This window comes from Homo sapiens, chromosome 2, assembly GCF_000001405.40.
Source record: "Homo sapiens chromosome 2, GRCh38.p14 Primary Assembly".
Classification (NCBI taxonomy): domain Eukaryota; kingdom Metazoa; phylum Chordata; class Mammalia; order Primates; family Hominidae; genus Homo; species Homo sapiens.
The window spans coordinates 19453585-19473370 of record NC_000002.12 but is presented as its reverse complement, the minus strand read 5'-3'; the positions used below and the strand labels follow the sequence as shown (position 1 = coordinate 19473370).

Sequence of the window (19786 nt, the reverse complement as noted above, 5' to 3'; positions counted from 1 at the left end):
GTTAATTTAAACAATGTAGTAAAGTCAAATTGAACTCTAAATGGGGGTGTGAAAAACTTTTCCATGAATAAAGTTCATGGGTTGTTTTACAGCCTTTTAAAAGCTCAGACCCCTTCTTCATATTGAACTCTCAGCTGTGTTTTTTGCTAGTTAAGGCTGCTGAATGGTATACTACAGTCTCTTCCTCTATAATCGTACCTCCCACACTCCTGTATCCTCAGAAAGAAATTTAATAAATTTCTACAGGAAAACGCTTGCCGCTTTCCAGTAATTGTGTCTTTCCAGGATGCCAAATCATCAAGAAGGACCTTGGAGGCAGAATGCAGGGTTAGTGCCCACTTTACTGTCTCCTTCCTTTTCCTCTTTTCTGCTTGGATTTACAGGAGAATTCATTATAGAAAACACTCCGTCTCCCTACTTCTACTGTTGTTAGCAACAAGAAAATGAACAGTACACAATTTCTTTTCCTATATAGAAGAAGTAGCATTTGAATGGGGCAGGATTTTAATGAGTATGATAGTGAGGGTGTTGGGAGCTAAAGGCACTCAGACCCTGGTCAGTGTGTGGGTGTCTCTGAAGTAGCATTTGAATGGGGCAGGATTTCAATGAGGATGATGGTGAGAGTGTTGGGGGCTAAAGGCATTCAGAGGTTGGTCAGTGTGTGAATGTCTCTGGGCCTCAGCTCCCTTCTCTGTTGCCGTTTTCTCCTTCCTATTCCCATACCATAATGTCATCCCATCAGCTCCTTTGGCCGAAGCCTGTCAATACTGTTTTTTCAACCACAAATCCAGTTTTTAAAGCTCTATTTTCAATGATTTTACTTTTTCTTAAGAATTGTAGGCCAGAATACTGTTTGGCAGAACTAACAATGATTTTACCACCAGGTGCAGGAGACAACAGCCATGAGTGACTTCTGGGACAAGTAATAACCCTACTGTGTCCTCCCCAAACGCTTCATTGAAATTCCATCACAACAGCTATAATACTTTGATTTCAATTGTAAAACTCCCATTAAAATGTAAATACCCAGAGGAAGAATAATGCCTTGAACTCTCTCTAAGCATTTATCCCTTTGGTGAGTTAGATATTTTACTGACATTAGATTTTTATAGGAGAAAGAGGGGAGAGTGTGAGAATAGGAGAGTACTCCCAAAAAAAAGGCTGGGAACACCAAAGACCAACTTGGCTGACTTTACAATCATCTAAAACTCCATCCTCAGGAAATGTCACTGGGCTAATTGTTCCCTACTTTGGTTTATTAATCCTCATCTCTTTGGTTTGGATTGGTTTCTATCCCTCTGCCCAAGCCACGATGTCACAGCCAAACATCACTATCCCTATTGGGTATGATTTGCTACAATTGCTGGGTCTAAGTTTCTGAATCATCTCAAGACTCAGTGTAGTTGTTCTGTTGTTTGTAATATGTAATACATATTACAAAATCTATCCCAAATCTGGCTGACCATTTTCTCTTACTACTATCCCCTCCTCCATTAGTAATATATCTAAGTCACCGTAAGGGATAAATGCTCCTCCATCCACGGGGAGGAGGGGATAGGAGTAAATCACAAAACCCTTCCCTGTCTTTCATCCATCTCCCTTTCTTGAGCCAGTTTTTTCTCTTGCACCCTACATTACCCATGTTCAATAGCTCTTCCCCTTGACCATTAATCCCGGATGTGGATCTTGTCAAATCTTGTTTAAAAATCAAAGCACTCTTCATACAGCCACTAAATCTCCTTCATCTTTCATGACAGGGATATCTTCAAGAAACTCCATCCGATTTGTTAAACATGACCTCCTCTGCCTGGGTCCTTGAAGCCTCCCTTCAATAAAGTAGGCTTTTCCAGGTGCTCTCCTACCACATCCTTTAAGAATGCTTCCAAGAACTCCCTCCGCTGCACCCTTCTTATCCCTAAACAAACCAGATGTTACACACTCTGTTCTCCTATCTCTCTGCTTGTCTTAAGAGGGATCTTAAAAGAAATATGAAGATGGATCTGGCTATTTTCAAATCCTTTGGAATTACTTCCAAATAGATGAATTTCAGTCACTGCTGCTTTACCTTGTCCGCTCTTCCCACGAATGCAAATTTTTTTTTAAAAAAGTAAAATGAATAGCCATGTGTTTTCCACTGCATTGCATGACGTACCTATGTTGTATTTTTTGAAACTTGCCTATAGGTCAATTATCTTCAAATATACATTCAGGATTTGAGGGGACTCAATATGTAACATGCCTTTGAACCAATGGAGAGATTGGTTCAGAACCAATTGAGAGACGGGCATAGCTCTATGAAGACTAAGCCTCCACCTTTAACATTGTAAGTGAATTTTCTATTGTTTTAATTCTTTATTACATACATTTTTCTGCCCAATCTTTGGAACAACCAGATAATTATGAGATTCCTCCCTCAGCACATAGCCCACCCCACAGAGTAAAATGCACCCTTCTGGCAAATAAGCAGATCCCAAAGAGAGGAGTGAGAGGTAGGGGCTAGACCAAGCATTAGTATTGTGTTTTTCCAAGTTTACCACTCAGAAAAGTCATTCCTAAAGAGTAGAATATGTGAGGCATGGAGAGGGGCTGAAAAACTGTTCCTCTGTGGAAGTTCCTCAGGATAAAGGTTCAAATAGTTAGGCATAGTCTCCCAGTAATGTTAAGCAGCACAAAAATTGCATATGTTGTTTGATGTAAAATGCAGATTCCTAAGGCCTAGTCTGATTCAAGATCTGGAATAGGACCAAGGGTATCCAAATATGTAAATGAACTCTCAATGATTCTAATGCAGGTAGTTGGTTAACCCACTTTGAGGGACATTACATTAGAATCTTACAAAATGTTCTCCGAAAAAAGGGATTATATAGTCAACTGTTTTGGAAATATTAAATAAAAACAAATTAAGCACACTTTTCTTGATTCATAATATGATAAACATTGAACAGAATGCAACATAATATTCCTCAAGCTTTTTTTCAGACCACTTATTAATGATTTGAGGGATGCCACTGCACTAACACAGTTTGAAAGGTGCTGAGTTGAGTGCCTGGAACAAGAGAACTAACTATTGTCATCTGTACTGGTTAGAATATACCTGAAATTCAGTTTACAGCACTACCATGCTTTAAGAGAGTTGTTGAAAACCTGGAGCATGTTGAAAGAATTTGGTCTTTAGGGGTTTGCTAATGATATCACCTGAACAATGGTTGAAAGAGACTGAAGAGACTCTTAGGTTAAAATGGCAGTTCAAATATGCTAAACTCACATTTTTCAAAACCCTACCAAAGCCATAGGAAAGAGATTCAAAGGACTAGGAAATAAAGCGAGAAGACAACAGCCATACATTTTGGAAGCTGGAAAGCATATGAAGCAACAGTAAATGAGTTATGAAAACCAAAACAGTGGAATCCAAAACCAGAGTGGAGAGAGCTGGGAATCAATGTGTTACCCACCCACAGATTCTTCAAAATCTCTGGAATTCTCAGGACAGGACAGCTCCAGTTTCCTTTGTAACTGGGCATGATGGTGGAAAAGAAAATATAAAGAATTGTGTGAAAACTTCTGGCAAAGCAGTCAGATGTTTAGGTTTTCTTCCAAGTTCTATGCCACTGGGTAACTGACCTTCCTCCACTCTAGAGGTTTATCATCTGAAGAGGGTAGAACAGAGAAACCTGGGATGGGGGTTGGCTGGCACAGGCGTTAGTACAGTTAAGATGGGCTATCCTACTGAAAATAAGGTATACGCATTAAATATTGAATGCTGAGTTCCCCAGACCTATTTTAACCCCCAGCCCTAACAAGTCTCCTAGAATTCCCTAACAAGTCTCCTAGAATTCCCTAAGCAAGAAAATGAAAGAACATACTTTTAAAAATCTGATTATCCCCAAAGAAAAGACCAAAACCAGGGGCTCACTGCAAAATAGCCAACCACATCACCTACCTGAAAGCTCAATGTCAACAACCCCATTTACAAATGCCTACAGCCATATTCTGGGTGCCATATGCCCTCCCAGAACCTTCCCACTCCCCATTGAGAGTCAGTATTTATTTCTCTCCCATTGAGAATGGGTGGAGCTTTGTGACGGCCTCAATGAATGAAAGGTATTGCATGATTTTTGAGGCCAGGTCATCGAAGACAATATGGCTTCTGCTTGGCCCTTTCTCTCTCTGGATTCCTGCCCTTAGAATCTTGCCACCATGCTGTGAGGAAGCCCAAATTTTAGCCAATAGGGAGAGGCCCACTGAAGACGAATTGAGGCTTCAGCCAAAAGCTAGCATCAACTATAAGACCTGTGAGTCATGGACTCCAGCTCCTAGATTTGGAACCTTTCAGCTGGAGCCTCTGATGTCAGAAGTGCCGTTCTTCCTCTGCCCTGTTCGAACTCCTGAAACACAAAATCCATGAACGTAATAAAGGGTTGTGTTAGACTGCTATACCTTGAAATAATTTCTTATAAGTCATTAATAACTGAAGTAAGCATTAATTGAACCTTTAAACAGTTAAACTTACAATAATTATTTTGAAGATCATCTTGCCTTAAAAACTTCAAGATCTTTGAGGGGATAATTTGCCATCTTAGTATTTAGAAGAACTGTGTTTGTGTCTATATGAGGGAGATCAGATTATAATAGAAGGTAAATGGGTACAGCTACTTGGGAGGCTGAGGCAGGAGAATGGCGTGAACCCGGGAGGCGGAGCTTGCAGTGAGCCGAGATCCCGCCACTGCACTCCAGCCTGGGCGACAGAGCGAGACTCCGTCTCAAAAAAAAAAAAAAAAAAAAAAGCTTTCCTGGAATTTTAAACTATTTTCTCTTTTGATTAAAAAAAATAGAGGATGAGATATGCACTCATTACAAGAATATTACATTTCAGGATTTGGTAAAATGAAGAGAAAGTTTTGAATGGGCTAAACAGGAATTCAAGGACTTCTTATAATACATTCCAGAGCTCAGCAACTCTTTTTTTATATTGCCTGCTGTTTGGGATTATATTCATCATTGCTGCCTTCAGTTACAGGTGGGGACATTACTTTGGAAACCTTTGTTTGTATTGTCTTTGTAACCTAGATCTATTGCCCATGACATTTTAGCTATTTAATAACTACTGTTCCAGCAAAACCTCCCCAAGGAGCAGTTCAAGCTCCCAATGTCCACCAACCTAAGCTCTCCATAGGAGCAATGAAAAAACACAGGTGTGAGAAATCTGAGGATTCCTTCTCCGAGGGCTCTCTCTCCAGTCAGGGGTGTGTCTTCCTTAAAATAGAGCTTAAGCTCTATGGGGTAGTTAATCTTAGATATTCAGAAATGGAAGATTAACCCCCAAAGATTAAGTGATTATCTAAATGCGTTAATTCAAGGTGATTGTTAATTTATTACCTTCGATTCTTATGAATGAATGACAGTTCATCCTGCTAACTTCCTATAGATTATTTTCATCAAATGAGAACAAAAGTGTTTTTGTGAGGAAAATACATATATTTCCTCCAAATGAACAACAGAAAGATAGCACCATGTTTATGTACCTTATAAAAGGTGTGAAGGAGATTCTGAAATTCCATGACTCACTCATCTGGTGTGACATTTTTCATTTCAAAGAATATTGGTTTCTGCTTGAGCTTATAGTAAAAAGACAGGATTCCAATATTTATAGAAACAAAAAAAAATTTATTGGCCTTTTTCCTCTCAAAGAGATTTAGGGCTACCAAGTCTAGCAAACCCTATTGATTCAAGAGATACCTACCATATGTCATTTTTTTTCCAGGCTTTTTTATTGGTTCTGGAGAGGCAAATTAGACATGAAATTTGCCTTCAAAAAGCATATAATCTCATGGGGAGGTAAACCATGTATAAAAATAATTAAAATGTAAGGTAATAGAAAGTGAGATGGACTGTATGGAAGGTAGGGACACACTAAGTGAGAGTTAAGAGGGAGAGAAACTTTGCAGCTGCTGGTAGAAAATTCAAGATGGTGGGATAAAGGGGATGTGGAGTCAGAGGAAGTTGGTTTCATGGTGGAGATGAACCAGGGGAAACACACAGAAGATTTTTCAAGTGAAAAACAAAGGTTTGGTTTGGCTGGAATATCCAAACTGGATGTACATCAGTATTGATGGGGTCCTGCTAAAGGGGAGATTCCTGGGCTCTACCAGACTTACAGACCCAGCTCAATGTAGTGGTTTCTATAGGGGTGGACCTGAGCACTCATACATTTAACAGGCTGCTCTTGGGACCATAACTACAGCTGGGTTCAGGGATTTCCAGGCTGAAGGACAAGGTTTATAATAGGGGGGGATGAGAGATGACATTGGGAAGGTTCGCTGGTGTCAAATCATAAAGGGCCTTGACTTCCAGAATGTATATGAGCTTTATTCATTAGTCAGTGGGGGCACTGGGAGAGACTCTTGAGGAATGAACTGACAGATCAGAGAAGTGCTTCCAGAATGGCGATCAGCTGCTGTGAATAGGATGGATTAGCAGGTCAAAGACCAGAGGTAGGGAAAACAATTAGGTGCCACCTGTAATTTCCCATGAAAGAGTAATTGAAGCATGAAATTTAAGAGTGGCAACAGCAGGGCTGGAGAGAAAAGTATGGGAGGGCTTCTAATCTCATTCACCTGACAATGGTTTACTTTCATTCCTGGGACATCTCTGACTTTGATCTTGCTTCTCCTTGAATACACTCTTAGTAAATCCTTAAATACTTATAACCCAGGCTCTTGTTATTTATGGCTAAAGTACATTGTGCTTAAATATATAGAATGGCATTTTCTATCATTATTTTAAGACAAAAGCATGTTCATTTCACTGAGTCCTCTGAACTTAAAGATACTTAAGGATGTCTTAATCTGGATATGATTGACTCTTTGCCAAAATGAGATGGAACAAGAAATGGTGGAAGCCGTTGAATTTTTTTATCTGCCCAGCACCTTGCATATGAGTGAACACACAGTAATAACTTTAAAAATCTTGGTTATTTACTTGAGCTCCAATTCCAGTTTCTGAAGGTTTTGATTCTGTTCTGATTTTCTTGGGAAGTCAGGATATGCTTTTAAAAATATTATTTCTTCTCTAATAATCTTTTTCTCTTTCTCTGCTCTCTGCTCACACAGCCTGTTCTCATAGGCTTAATGGGCCCTGATTACTCACAGGGATGCATAAAGTAGTCCCTTTAGAGGAATAATAGAGGCTGATGACTTCTTGGAATTACCTGGCCTTTGAACACATTGCACATGTTTGGGAAATGGCTCAAAATTTGGCACATTACTGTCTTCCACATGAATAATTGCAGCACATAAAAACAGATATTCCCAGCAACTCTGTATAAGGAAACATAGCTAAATGAAAAGAAGAGAGGGCAAATGCTGTGTCCTTTTGTGTGGAAATATCAGAAGAAGAAAAAAACTTTCTGTCTCAAAAACATAGCAGCTTATAAATTCAGATTAATCTTAACCAAAAAAAGGATAAAATGCAAATGAATCTTAAGGAAAAACTTAAAATTAGTTGCTGTAATCTCTATGGGACCTGTTATGGGCTAAACTGTGTCCCTTCAAAATTCATATGTTGAAGCTCTAAACCTGAGTACCTCAAAATCTGACTGTATTCGGAGACAGGATCTTTAAAGAGGTGATTCAGTTAAATGAAGCCATTAGGATGGATTCTAATCTGATGTGATTGGTGTCCTTATAAAAAAGAAGGAACGTGGACATAAATAGAGACATCACAGATGCAAACAGAAAAGACCACGTGAAGACAAAATGAGAAGATGCTGTCCCCAAGCCAAGTAGAGAGCCTTCAGAAGAAATCACCCCTGCTGACACCTTGATTGTGGACTTCCAGCCTCCGGAACAGAGCAATGAGAAAGCAAACTTCTGTTGTTTAAGCAACTCAATCTGTAGTACTGTGTTTTGTTATGGAAACCCCGGGCCAACAAATATGGACCCCCAGTGCCAAAGGGAAATCAGAGGGCTTGGGAGGAGCCTGGCACCAATGAGAGGCCCACCCTGTATGGCACACGCCTGAGCCAGGGGTATTGTGGCATCAATTGATCTTCTACCTCCATCACCAAGGGGTCCCTTACCTCACCAGAAGAAACCATGAGAAGCAGCTGTTTTCAGGGTTTATCTCCATTTTATCAGATGTGTTTATGGTGATATAATGGAGATTGAAAAAAAAAAAACAGAAGTAGAACGTATTTTCAGAATCTCTCTTCGTTTTAGCAACCGGTTCAAAGTTGAGATCAAATGAAGATTGTTAAGAAGAAGGACTACAGGTCATAGGAGAAGGTGACCCCTCCAGTGGCTTGCTTTCTGGGGTCCTGACTCTCTCAAACACGTGCCTCCACTGCCTGCACTTGACCTGAGATGCAGTTCCTTTACTGTGCATTTTGCTCTAATCGCTCTGCCCCACTCAGTCACTGCCTGTTTCCACCTCTACTATATTTTGGATTTCAGACTGACTTTTTATTCTCAAGGCCACCTTCCCCAAAGAGACTCACTTTCCTTTCTCCCTGCATGACACCCCAAAGCTGTGAGCCAACCCTAGCTGCTCCCACACCAGAATCAACTCATTGAACCCCAGGCTTGGCCAGAGCTCCAGGTTGGCCCAAGAGAGTGAAAAGAAACAAGAATAAGCCCAGTCCAGGCACCAACCCTTTGGCTGGGCTCACCACAACCTCAGTGCAAAGAGGAGCAAAATGCCCGCTAACTAACCTGCACCAATAATACCATATTCTATCAAATCTAGGTAGCTATCAGTTGAAAGACACAATATGATTTTATATACCAGTAAAAAGAACAAATACTGTCAAGTAAACACTATCACACTATCAACTGTAAGATGCTTAATATTACAGAGTAGTTCAAAGGTTTTTTTTAAAAACTGTGTATTTTAAAATCAATGATGACATGAGATGCATAAGCATGAAAAGGGTGTGACTTAAGAACAATGTCCCAGCACTTTGGGAGGCCGAGGCGGGCGGACCACGAGGTCAGGAGATCGAGACCATCCTGGCCAACATGGTGAAACCCTGTCTCTACTAAAAATACAAAAATAAGAAATTAGCCGGGCATGGTGGCAGGCGCCTGTAGTCCCAGCTACTCAGGAGGCTGAGGCATGAACCCGGGAGGCGGAGCTTGCAGGGAGCCAAGTTCGCACCAGCCTGGGTGACAGAGCAAGACTCCATCTCGGGAGCCAAGATCACACCAGCCTGGGTGACAGAGCAAGACTCCATCTCAAAAAAAAAAAAAAAAAAAAAAAGAAAGAAAAATGAACAAATCCTTGTCTTTTTGCAGACATATGATTTTATGCTGTGATTTTAAAGTTTGCAATATTTTTTCTGTACTGAGCAGGAAATAAATACATTTTCCTACGCCATCCTCCAAATCCATACAACTGAAACCCCATATAGTTTCCCAGGTCAAGGTAACGAAGGCAGGAATTCAGGGTAGATACTGTCCCAGAGGTTTTCATGAATATCTAAGCTTGTGACTATTGTATAAGAGAGTGTTTCCAGAGGCTCTTGCTTTTCTTCTGAATGTATTTCTATTGTTTCAGGTTGCCTGATAGCCCTTGCTATCTAAATTCTCATTATCTGAATTATTGCTGTCTAAACTAAGACACTAAATAGATGTAGATAGCTTTTTTTTAGATGGCCTGACATCTCTCAGTATCTGAGCTCTCATTCCTGTCTATCTGAAATCCACGAACCATCTGATGTGGATAATGTTTCACAACCTGAGACTGAAGATTTCCAGACCTAAACAGACCTTTCCAATGAAAGAATGGCCAGGTTTCTGTGTAGGACCATGCTTGTTTAAGCCCCGTCAGTCACCTTGTTACGCAGAAGGCTAGCAATTCTTTCGCTGGAAACTCCATCATCTAACTACGCGAGGTTGAGCAAGTTGCTTTATTTTTCCCACCTTTGTTTCCCTGTCTGTCCTATGCAAGTTACGACTGCCCCATAGAGTTGCTGTGAGAAATAGATGTGATTGATTTTATGTAGATGAGCAGGAGTACTCAGTGCCTGAGGCCTCACACCTGCTGCCAGCTTGTCTGCCCCTCTACCCCTCTGGACACCCCCTTCCTTGACCTCTGGCTACTGGTTGGTTTTGGCCAATGGGAGGCACAGTAAGGGGTTGGGAGCAGGAAGGAAAAAGGAGTTTGGATACTTATTATTCCTGAAATCTTCCTGCTTTCTACTTCATTTTGTCCTAGAGAATGCCCATTCTTTTTTTTTTGAGACGTGATCTCAGTTCACTGCAACCTCCGCCTCCCAGGTTCAAGCAATTCTGCTGCCTCAGCTTTCCCAGTAGCTGGGATTACAGGCATGTGCCACCACACCCGGCTAATTTTTTGTATTTTTAGTAGGGGGTTTCTCCATGTTGGTCAGTCTTGTCTCGAACTCCCGACCTCAGATGATCCGTCCGCCTTGGCCTCCCAAAGTGCTGGGATTACAGGCATGAGCCACTGCCCCCGGCCGAGAGCTCCCATTCTTTACTGGTTCCCTTAACTCTCTTCACACTCCTGAACACAGTCCCTGTTAACATCTCTTGTATTATTCCTTTGAGGGCACCATCTGTTTTCTCCCAGGGCCATGACTGTACCCTCTCCCAGGCATGCAGGTGGTGACGTTTGCCCCCTGATGGAGTTTGCTGCCTTAAGAGATTGTATCTTAGTGCAGCAGCAGAATGACTTATCCAGAAAAATCCACTATTTGAAACCTGGCTCTGTGCAGGCTTAAACATTTTGTTTATGTGGTGAAAATAAGGAGAACGTCATTCTTGAAAAGGGATTTCTTTTTTAACTTTTGGCCAAACACCCCCTTTCATTCCCTCCTCCTCTTAGAAAAAAAAAGAAGATGCTCTGGCTTGTATTTATGAGGGAGTAAGGCATGCAGTTCTCCTTTCAAAGCTGTTCACATGGAAAGGAAACTGGCCTTGACATTTACACAGTCCAGGAGGATTCCAAATAGAATTTGGACAGATTGGGAAGTTACCATCTTGGAGTGTAGGGAAAGCAAGCCTGGTGGGAAGATGTGGTGACATATATGAGGCAATCCATAGATGTTAGGAATGTGCTGCTCTGTATGTGCCTCGCTTCTTCAAGATCCAATGGAATTGCCACAAATATGCATATGTTCTTTATGATATCACATGAGAAGACCATCCAATTAAAGCACTCCACACTAAAGGCAAGGCGTATAAGTGCTGCATATATTTATGATTGCTTAATGTCAACAAAAGGGTCTTTTAAGCACAGCACATTCCTTACCCTGCACTCGCAGATCATGCTAAACACATCCAAATGCACAAACTATAAAAGAAGGAAGAGGCAGTACCGGCACCAAGCTCTTTGGTTTCTGCATCTGGCCGGTGTCCACTGGGAGAAATGTAAGTCAGAATTTACCACATGGATTACAAATGTGCTGAATTGCAAGAATGATTATTAAATGAACATATCCATAGCACCTGCAACTTGTCCCGGAAAATTCCCCCAGGGTGTTGTGGGTGCTTTTCTAAAAAAATTTTTTAAGGAAAAAAAGGAAGACAGAGTGAGATGCAAATGGCAACTCCAGCTGTTTATAGTAGCAACTCCATTAATGTTCCTGAAGGGTTTGCAGAGTCAATTCAGTCAATCTGAGCTGCTTCCATTCTCAGCATGAGTGTGAGGAGTGGGGGCTAGGGGAATATCATTAGCCTCTTTCCTTTGAGGTTTGGATGATCAAGACAATGAAAATAATAGTAATGTAAATGGAAATTGCTTTGAAAAACAAAGCATGTCAGTGCAGGGGGAAGCATGAGGCTAGCTCCATTTCTCTGACCCAGCAGTAGTATTTATTCTGTTATAAGGTCAGGGCTTCTTCTAGAAACAGAAACTGAGAGGCTATGTGGATTTCGTTTATTTAATACATGATTGTGTGTACATATATAGAACACTCTGAACATATGTAATAATATCTGGCTGTGTTTCAATTAGTTTCTGTGTCTGTGTGTGTGTGTGTGTGTGTGTGTGTGTGTGCATGCTTGCATGAGCATGCTCACACATCCATGTATGTTTGTGTGCATGTGAAAAGAAAAATAATAAAGTTAGGGGAAGTTCAGTGAGGTGGTAAATTTCTGGAATTTGAAATCAAAATACCTAGAGTCAAGTTCTCACCCTATCAGTGTAAGTAGTTGGGCAAGTGATTTAACCTTTCTGCACCTGAGTTCCCTAATGCAGCAGTCCCCAACTTTATGGCTCCAGGGACTGGTTTCATGGAAGAACATTTTTCCATGGACTGGGGGCAGTTGCAGGGGGAGGGGGATGGTTTGAGGGATGAAGCTCTTCCACCTCAGATTATCAGGCTTTAGATTCCCATATGGAGCACACAATCTGGATCCCTCGCATGCGCAGTTCACAATAGTCTTTCGGCTCCTATGAGAATCTAATGCCTCTGCTGATCTGACAGAAGGCAGAGCTCAAGCGGTCATGCTCACTTGCCCACTGTTCACCTCCTGCTGTGTGGCACAGTTCCTAACAGGCCATGGACCTGTACTGGTCTGTGGCTTTGCTAAAAAACATGATTCAATGATACTGTTAAAGCAAAGTAAGACTATTTAGCACCATCGTGATAATCACAGGGACCACTGCAATGGGGTCTTGGGTTCAATTCCAAATGCAGCGTGGGCAAGTGGAACTTTATAGCCAAGGAGCAGGGTGGAGGTCAGAGGATAGAACATTACCAAGAGGAAACATCAGGGGTAAGGGGGACTGTGGCTAAATTGACTTAAGAGAATTCTTGCTGAAGGCAGGCCAGGGTGATCAGACATCACCTGGGGATGGTGGATGGAGGATGAGGAAACTGAACACCTATCCAGGGTGATGAGATAGTGAAGGTGAGGGTTCTTGCTAAACTGATTTAGCAGGGTTCTTTGCTAAAAGTGGATTTTATAAGCAAATGAGCAGTAAAGTGTGGCCAAAAAGAATTTTTGTTACCTTGTAGCTTTTTAAAAAAACTATTAATGAGCTGTCATAACACAAATATGATAGGCAGATAGATATATTTTTTGAGACAGGGTCTCACTCTGTTGCCCAGGCTGAAGTACAGTGGCATGATCATGGCTCACTGCAGCCTTGACCTCTTGGGCTCAAGCGATCCTCCCACCTTGGCCTCCAAAGTGGCTGGAACTACAGGCATGCAGCACCAATGCTCAGCTAGTGTTTGTATTTTTTGTAGAGACAGGGTTTTACCATGTAGCCCAGGTTGCTCTTAAACTCCTGGGTGCGAGTGACCTGCCCACCTTGGCCTCCCAAATTGCTGGGATTACAGGTATGTGCCACATTGCCCACCCTATGACAGATACTTTTAAAGGGCTTTAAGAATAATATATCTGGACCCTTGTTCCCATTTCTGACCCCCATCCCACCGCCAGCAAACAAGCATAGACTTCTAAAGGAGTGTTCTACTGTGTCTTCCAGGCCCTGGGGTTTGTGGTGTCAGTGTGGTTAACTGGCAAAAAGAGGACTGAAATGAAACTAAGACAAGCTGAATTGACTTACATTATGGAAGGGCAAAGCGGTGGGGGAAAGCAGAGACCTAGAAATGTGAAAAGATGGCAGAAAGCTAGAGGAAGGTGAGAGCCACTGAGAGTTGAATTTTAGGAGCACTTTTTGTAGTACGGAAGCAGTGAGAAAACAGGTTTTCTCTGTTTTCACCATGCTGTGATGGGCAGAACGTTGGAAAGATAATGATTTAAAGCAAATTTTGAAGAATTGTTTCCTATATGTTGCATTTTGTTATACCTCTTTGCCATTTTCTTAGACTTCAATAAATAATCAGAATTGTTTGCAATCTCTTCTGAATTGATTGTACATTGAACTGGAACACTAGGGAGCTCAGCTTTGCATGTGTTACAGAAAGATAATTTTTAAACTGACCATTGTAAGAATTGTAACCTACATTTTGATGTTGAGTAGATAATGAGTTATGTTTTCAGTTATGCTCAGGATTATGTGGTGAAATGAGAAAAAAAAAAGAAATGCACAAGACATAGAACTATATTTTTACCTCCAGGGCAAAATGCTGAATGGCAGAAGGCTGAAGAAAAGCTAAAAGCTCCGTCCTATTGAGAAGTTCATCACAGGGAAGACTCCACTGAAGTAATCAGATGCCTTTCCTGCTGCCCTGAGTCTTTAACTGTCCAAAGGGAGTCCTGAACCCAAAGCTGTTTCAGCTGCATGCGATTGTTAGGATCATTCACTCATACCTCTTCGTTTAGGATAGAGAACAATCAGGCAAAGAAAGGGGAGGACTAACCCAAGGTCAGATAATTAGCTAAGGGCATCAGAACCCACAGTTCAGGGTTGTTAGTACCACATCAAGCTCCCTTGCAAATTAGCTTCATAAATTCTAAGCCCACAGGCTCAGGGCTCATCTGAAAGAGATGGACCAGAGAGGAGGAGATGGAGAAAAAAGTCTCCTACCACACACTGGAACCACTTTTACAGAAGTGCCTGTTGTCTCCCCTGCACCCCTGCACTCCCAACCCCAACAATGCCAGGCAGCAAGCTGTTGCAGAAAGGAAGCAGGCTGCTGCCCCTGCAGTGTTCAGGCCTCCTCCTGGCAGGGCTCCCTCTACCTGAATCCATCTCAGGGAAATGGTCATCTCTGACTATGCTGCACAGAGCCTGCAAAGCTATGTTAATAATCTCTCTGGGCCTTAAACTGAATAACCAAGATTTCGCACATGTACCATTCACTTCCCACTTAATATGCACACTCAATTTACACAGGAAGTATGCCTAAGGCTCTTTCAATGACTGTATGTGACTACACATAGGGTTTTTCTTTTATAACAGATTGGCAAATGCCTGAGGTGGTATGAGTGTGATGTTGCTGGAAAACCTTAGTTGAAATTCCTAGACTATATGAAATCCTTTTTAAATCTCCTTATTCTGAAAACATATTTTTTTAAAAAAAATTTAGACCACTCATGGGATTTAAAGTAAAAAGTACAAATATACTGTATTTCGTGACTATAATCAAACTGGAGACATTATGCAAACATAGAGCTCTTATATTTTCATTCTTCTACTTTAGGTCGCAATTGTCTATCTCTGCATTATGTGCAAACCAAAATGAGAACTGCAGGAATAAAACACATGGTTGTGTCCACGTTCTGAATGTTCAAGTATTAGCAGAATTGAGAGATCCATAGAGTCACAAGAAATCATGAAAAATTATTTTGTGTTGCTGCCCCTTTTTCTGCACCCCTCCCTATGATATATGCCTCTTTACTTATTGCAGGTCCCTGGGAGTTTCCTCCAGCTTTTAAATGAGGCAGGAGTCTACTTTTACCTCTGATGACTCAGTGTAGTATCCAATAATAGTCACAGAATAATACATAAGTATTTTCCTTATGTCTAACCTAATTTCTAAATATAGACTTATACTTCTGGCTATGATGTAGTAGTTTGTGGCAGACTTAAAACTCTTGCCAGGAACAACCAAAAGAGAAGGTTGATTTTTAGAAGTGTCTAAAGGCATGATGGCACTACTAACACAAGGACTCAAAGGGCCACACACAGGAAGAAAGGAAGCTCAGTGAGGTGAATATCCTGCTTTTCTAGTCAGGACATTTGGCAATTTTTAGTATGGGATAAGTGTCAACCTCAAAAAAAAAAAAACATCAGAGAAAACTATCTCTTAGGGCTGGGCATGGTGGCTCCGGCCTGTAATCCCAGCACTTTGGGAGGCCAAGGTGGGTGGATCACTTGAGGTCAGGGGACCAGCCTGGCCAACATGGTGAAACCCTGTCTCTGCTAAAAATACAAAAAATTAGCAGGGTGTGGTGGCATGCACCTGTAATCCCAACTACTCGGTAGGCTGAGGCAGGAGAATCCCTTGAACCCAGGAGGCAGAGGTTGCAGTGAGCCAAGATCACACCACCGACAGAGAAAGACTCAGTTTCAAAAACAAACAAACAAAAAAACCAAAAACTTACCTCTTAATTTAATGATTTTATTCAAGAGTAAGCAAAGAGGATTATAACCTGGGATGCACAGCTATAGCAAGTCTCAGGTGCACCTGAAGAGGGGAAGGTAAGAGGAAGCTTTTATTTGGCAAAAAGGGAGAGGTTTACATAAGCTACTTAGAAAGACTTTTATTGGTTCTGTAGGCTCAAAGCTGGAATTGGCATCAGTTCATTGGTGGAGATGCCATTACTAGGCAAGTGTTCTTCTGAGAACATTTTATCTGAATTGCTGCAGTCCTAAAGAATGTCTAGTGTTAAATCTGGTCATAGAAATATGTGCATGCATGCAAAATGTAGGTAATAAAAAGCATGAGATGCTTAAAGGACATGAAAGAATTTCTCATGAGATTATTTTAAAAAGTCCTTGGGACGATCTTGTTTCAGACATACAAGCATTAGCTCTCTGTCTTCATGCTTTCCCAGCTTCAGTTTGTTTGGGCCTGCCAAGAGTGATTTCATCCTAGTATCTGCAACCTTCCCATTAGCCCATCAGAGGAGCACTTCTAATGGTCAGAGAAGTGGTACAGCTTTAGGCAATGATAAGGTGTAGGGAACAAAAGGTTGGAATTCTGGATTTCCAAGACAGCTAAAATGTGAGGGCTAAAATCCTGGAGAGAAGAAAGGTGCAGAAAAGGGAGCCTGATATTTGGCACCATTTTTATTCTCTGGGCATTTGATAATTAAGCTATATAGGGCAAGAGGCTGCAAAGCTAAACAGTAACAACCGAAAAGCAGAGCAGTCTCTGGCAGTCACATGGTACCAAGAAATTTTTTAAAAATTGGGTTTAAAACTTGAAAAAGAGGAGGAGTCATTGCAGACACTTCAGGCTCTAAGCTGGGACCACTGGAAGGTTATATTCTACAAGCAGAGGTAGACCAAGTTTTCCAATGATGCAAATCAGTCTCAAGTCAGTTCCATCTATGATTAGATTGAAACAATCTGTCTCCTCCTGCCTTCAGAAGGGAGACTGAATCCCCTCTGAAAGAATACTGCATTATTCAAAGCATTAAAAATTTTCACACACAATATCTGACATTCAACAAAAAATGATTAGGCATGCTAAGTAATAAGATCAATAAATTAATAAACAAGAGAAAGAGATATGTGACCCAGATATTCAAATTATTAGATATGAGTTTAAAAATAATTTTAATTAATATGTTTAATAAAATAGATGGCAATATGAAGAATTTCATTATAGAATTGGATTCTTTTTAAAATAATCAAATGGAAAATTTTAGGAATAAAGTTTTAATATCTGATATTAAGAAATAGGTGAACAGCAGATTAGACAGAGCTAAAGAGGAGCTCAGTAAGCTAGCAGATAGGTTAATAGGAAATATTAACAGTGAAGCCTGAAGACAAAAAAAGCATAAGAATTACAGAAAATAATGTCAGAGACACATAAAATATGGTGAAAAATCTTAACACAGAGTTTCTGAACCTCTGCACTATTGGTATTTTGAGCCAAATAATTATTTGTTGTATGGATATTTTGTCCTAGGGACAAAATTTTCCAAATTGAGAGTCATTAGTCTAAACCTAGCATAATTAAAGAGAGAATGAGGCAGAGGCAATACTTGAAGAAAAATGGCTGAGAATTGATTCAAGAAGCACTGCAAATCCAAAACCTAGGCATATCGGAGTAAAACTGTCAAAACAAAAAATAAAGAGAAAATAATAAATATAGCCAAAGGGAAAAATGATATGTTACTTTTGAAACAGCAACTTTAACAGTTCACTTCTCAACAGAAATGAAGGGAACTATGTGACAATGGAATGATAGCTCTAAAGTGCTGAAACAAAATAAAAGCTGTCAGAATTCTATAGCCAGTAAAAAAAATACTCAAAAACAAATAACAAATAAAGGTATTCCTGACAAAAGCTGAGAGAACTCATTCCTGACTCGTTTCCCTGCAGGAAATACTTAAGGGAATCTTTCAGTCAGAAACACAGAAAATGCAAGAAGAAATGAAGAACAATAGAATGGTTAAATATATGGGTAAATCTAAATTAATATTGACACCAGAAAAAAAATAACAATAATATTTAATGAGATTTACAATGTATGTAGAAATAAAATATATGGTAACAATAACAGGAAGGATACAGAGGGTTGTGCAATAGAAGAACTAATATAACAGTCCTTAGACTGCTATCATTAGAAAGGCCTGCTTGCAAGGTTGCCTCTGCATTTGGAAACTTGGATTTTAGTAGGGTTCCCACCATTTCCTGAGCCAATAGTAGTGGCTCACTGTGTGTAAAGAGTTTGTGTGAACCATATGGTTTATGCTGAACACCTAGTTTCCTTCTGGAAGTCTGAAATTTTGGTACATGCTAGACGGAAGTTGTCTATATGACCAATATTTAATAAATACCCTGGGTGGTAAGTCTCTAATGAGCTTTCCTGGTAGACAAGCATTTGACAAGTGTTGTTACAACTTGTTGCTACAGGAATTAAGCACTTCTTATATAATTCCACTGGGAAAGGACTCTTGGAAGGTTGTGTCTAGTTCCCTCCGAACTCTGCTATATGTACATTTTCCCTTTGCTGATTTTGTTTTGTATCATTTTGCTGTAATCAATCATAGCTATTAGCATAACTATATTCTGAGTTCTGTGAATCCTCCTAGTGAGTAATAAAAACTTGGGATAGTCTTGGAGGACCCCAGATACAGGGCCTTTTAAATCTCAACATTCAAAAGTTCAAGATTTCCAAGGCTCTTTCAACATCAGTGAAGTGGTAGAAGCACAAATTTGTATTAGTTTCTAACAAATAAAAAAAAGGACACTGTAGTCTTCAAGATAACCACTGAAACAAAACTAAATGAATGTTTACTTAATGAGCTAATAGAAGTGGTAATAGGTCATAGGGAATACTTGATTAAGCCAAAGAAAGGCCAAAAAAGGAGAAAAGGGGATCAAAATTAATGTGAAAGATGAAAAAACAGATATTAATATAAACCTAAATATTTTAGTAGTTCCATTAAATGTAAATGGCCTATATATCCTAATTAAAAGACTAAAGTAGGCCAGAGGCTCACACCTGTAATCCCAGCACTTTGGGCGGCTGAGGCAAGAGGATCGGTTGAGCCAAGGAGTTCAAGGCCAGCCTGGGCAGCACAGCAAGACCCCATCTCTACAAAAAAATAAAATAACAAATTAGGTGGGCATAATGGTATACATGTGTAGTTCCAACTACTTGAGAGGTTGAGGTGGAAGGATCACTTGAGCCCTGGAGGTCAAGGCTACAGTGAGCTATGATTATGCTGCTGCACTCCAGCCTAGGTGATAGAGTGAGAGTTTTCCTTGAGAAAACAAACAAACAAAAAAGATTAAGCTAGATTTTGTAAAAAGTCCAACCATATACTGCTCAGAGGAGATGCACTTTAAATATAAGGAGGCAAAACTATTGAAAGTAAAAGTATGGAAAAGCTATATTAGGCAAACCAGTAGTATACTGGAGCCAGCTATTAAGGGCTTGAAAGGTTGTGAAACATTCAGAAATTTTGACTGTTAAAACTTTGTTTTAACATTTACACCACTGATGCAAACCTTAATCAAAAGAAAGATGATATGGCTACACTATTACCAATCTTCTCTAAGGCAAGAAGCATTATACAGATAAATCCATTTCTTACTGATAAAATGATTAATCCACTATTATAGTGTAACAATTTGAAATTTGCTTACACTTAATAACATACCTTCAAAAACAGCAAAATTTGATGGAATTTAAAGAACATGTGCTGAACGTGCAGGTTTGTTACATAGG

General features: G+C 40.3%; 2 long non-coding RNA genes across 6 annotated transcripts in view; one reads left to right on the top strand and one right to left on the bottom strand.

The window, feature by feature from the left end:
* LINC01808 (long intergenic non-protein coding RNA 1808) overlaps positions 1 to 4442 on the bottom strand; it is a 52275-nt gene extending 47833 nt beyond the window's left edge. For 3 of the 5 annotated variants that reach the window (NR_183420.1, NR_183421.1, NR_183422.1), the window contains exon 1: positions 3941 to 4031. This is a non-coding gene — a long non-coding RNA (long intergenic non-protein coding RNA 1808). Of the gene's footprint in view, positions 1 to 3940; positions 4032 to 4290 lie in introns of those variants that run through there. The other 2 variants (NR_183418.1, NR_183419.1) reach the window with 1 other exon arrangement.
* Positions 4410 to 15167, top strand: LOC101928196 (uncharacterized). The gene is made up of 3 exons (NR_187653.1): positions 4410 to 4635; positions 4874 to 5017; positions 14051 to 15167. It is a non-coding gene; the product is annotated as an uncharacterized LOC101928196 (long non-coding RNA).
* Positions 15168 to 19786: the final 4619 nt, after the last annotated feature.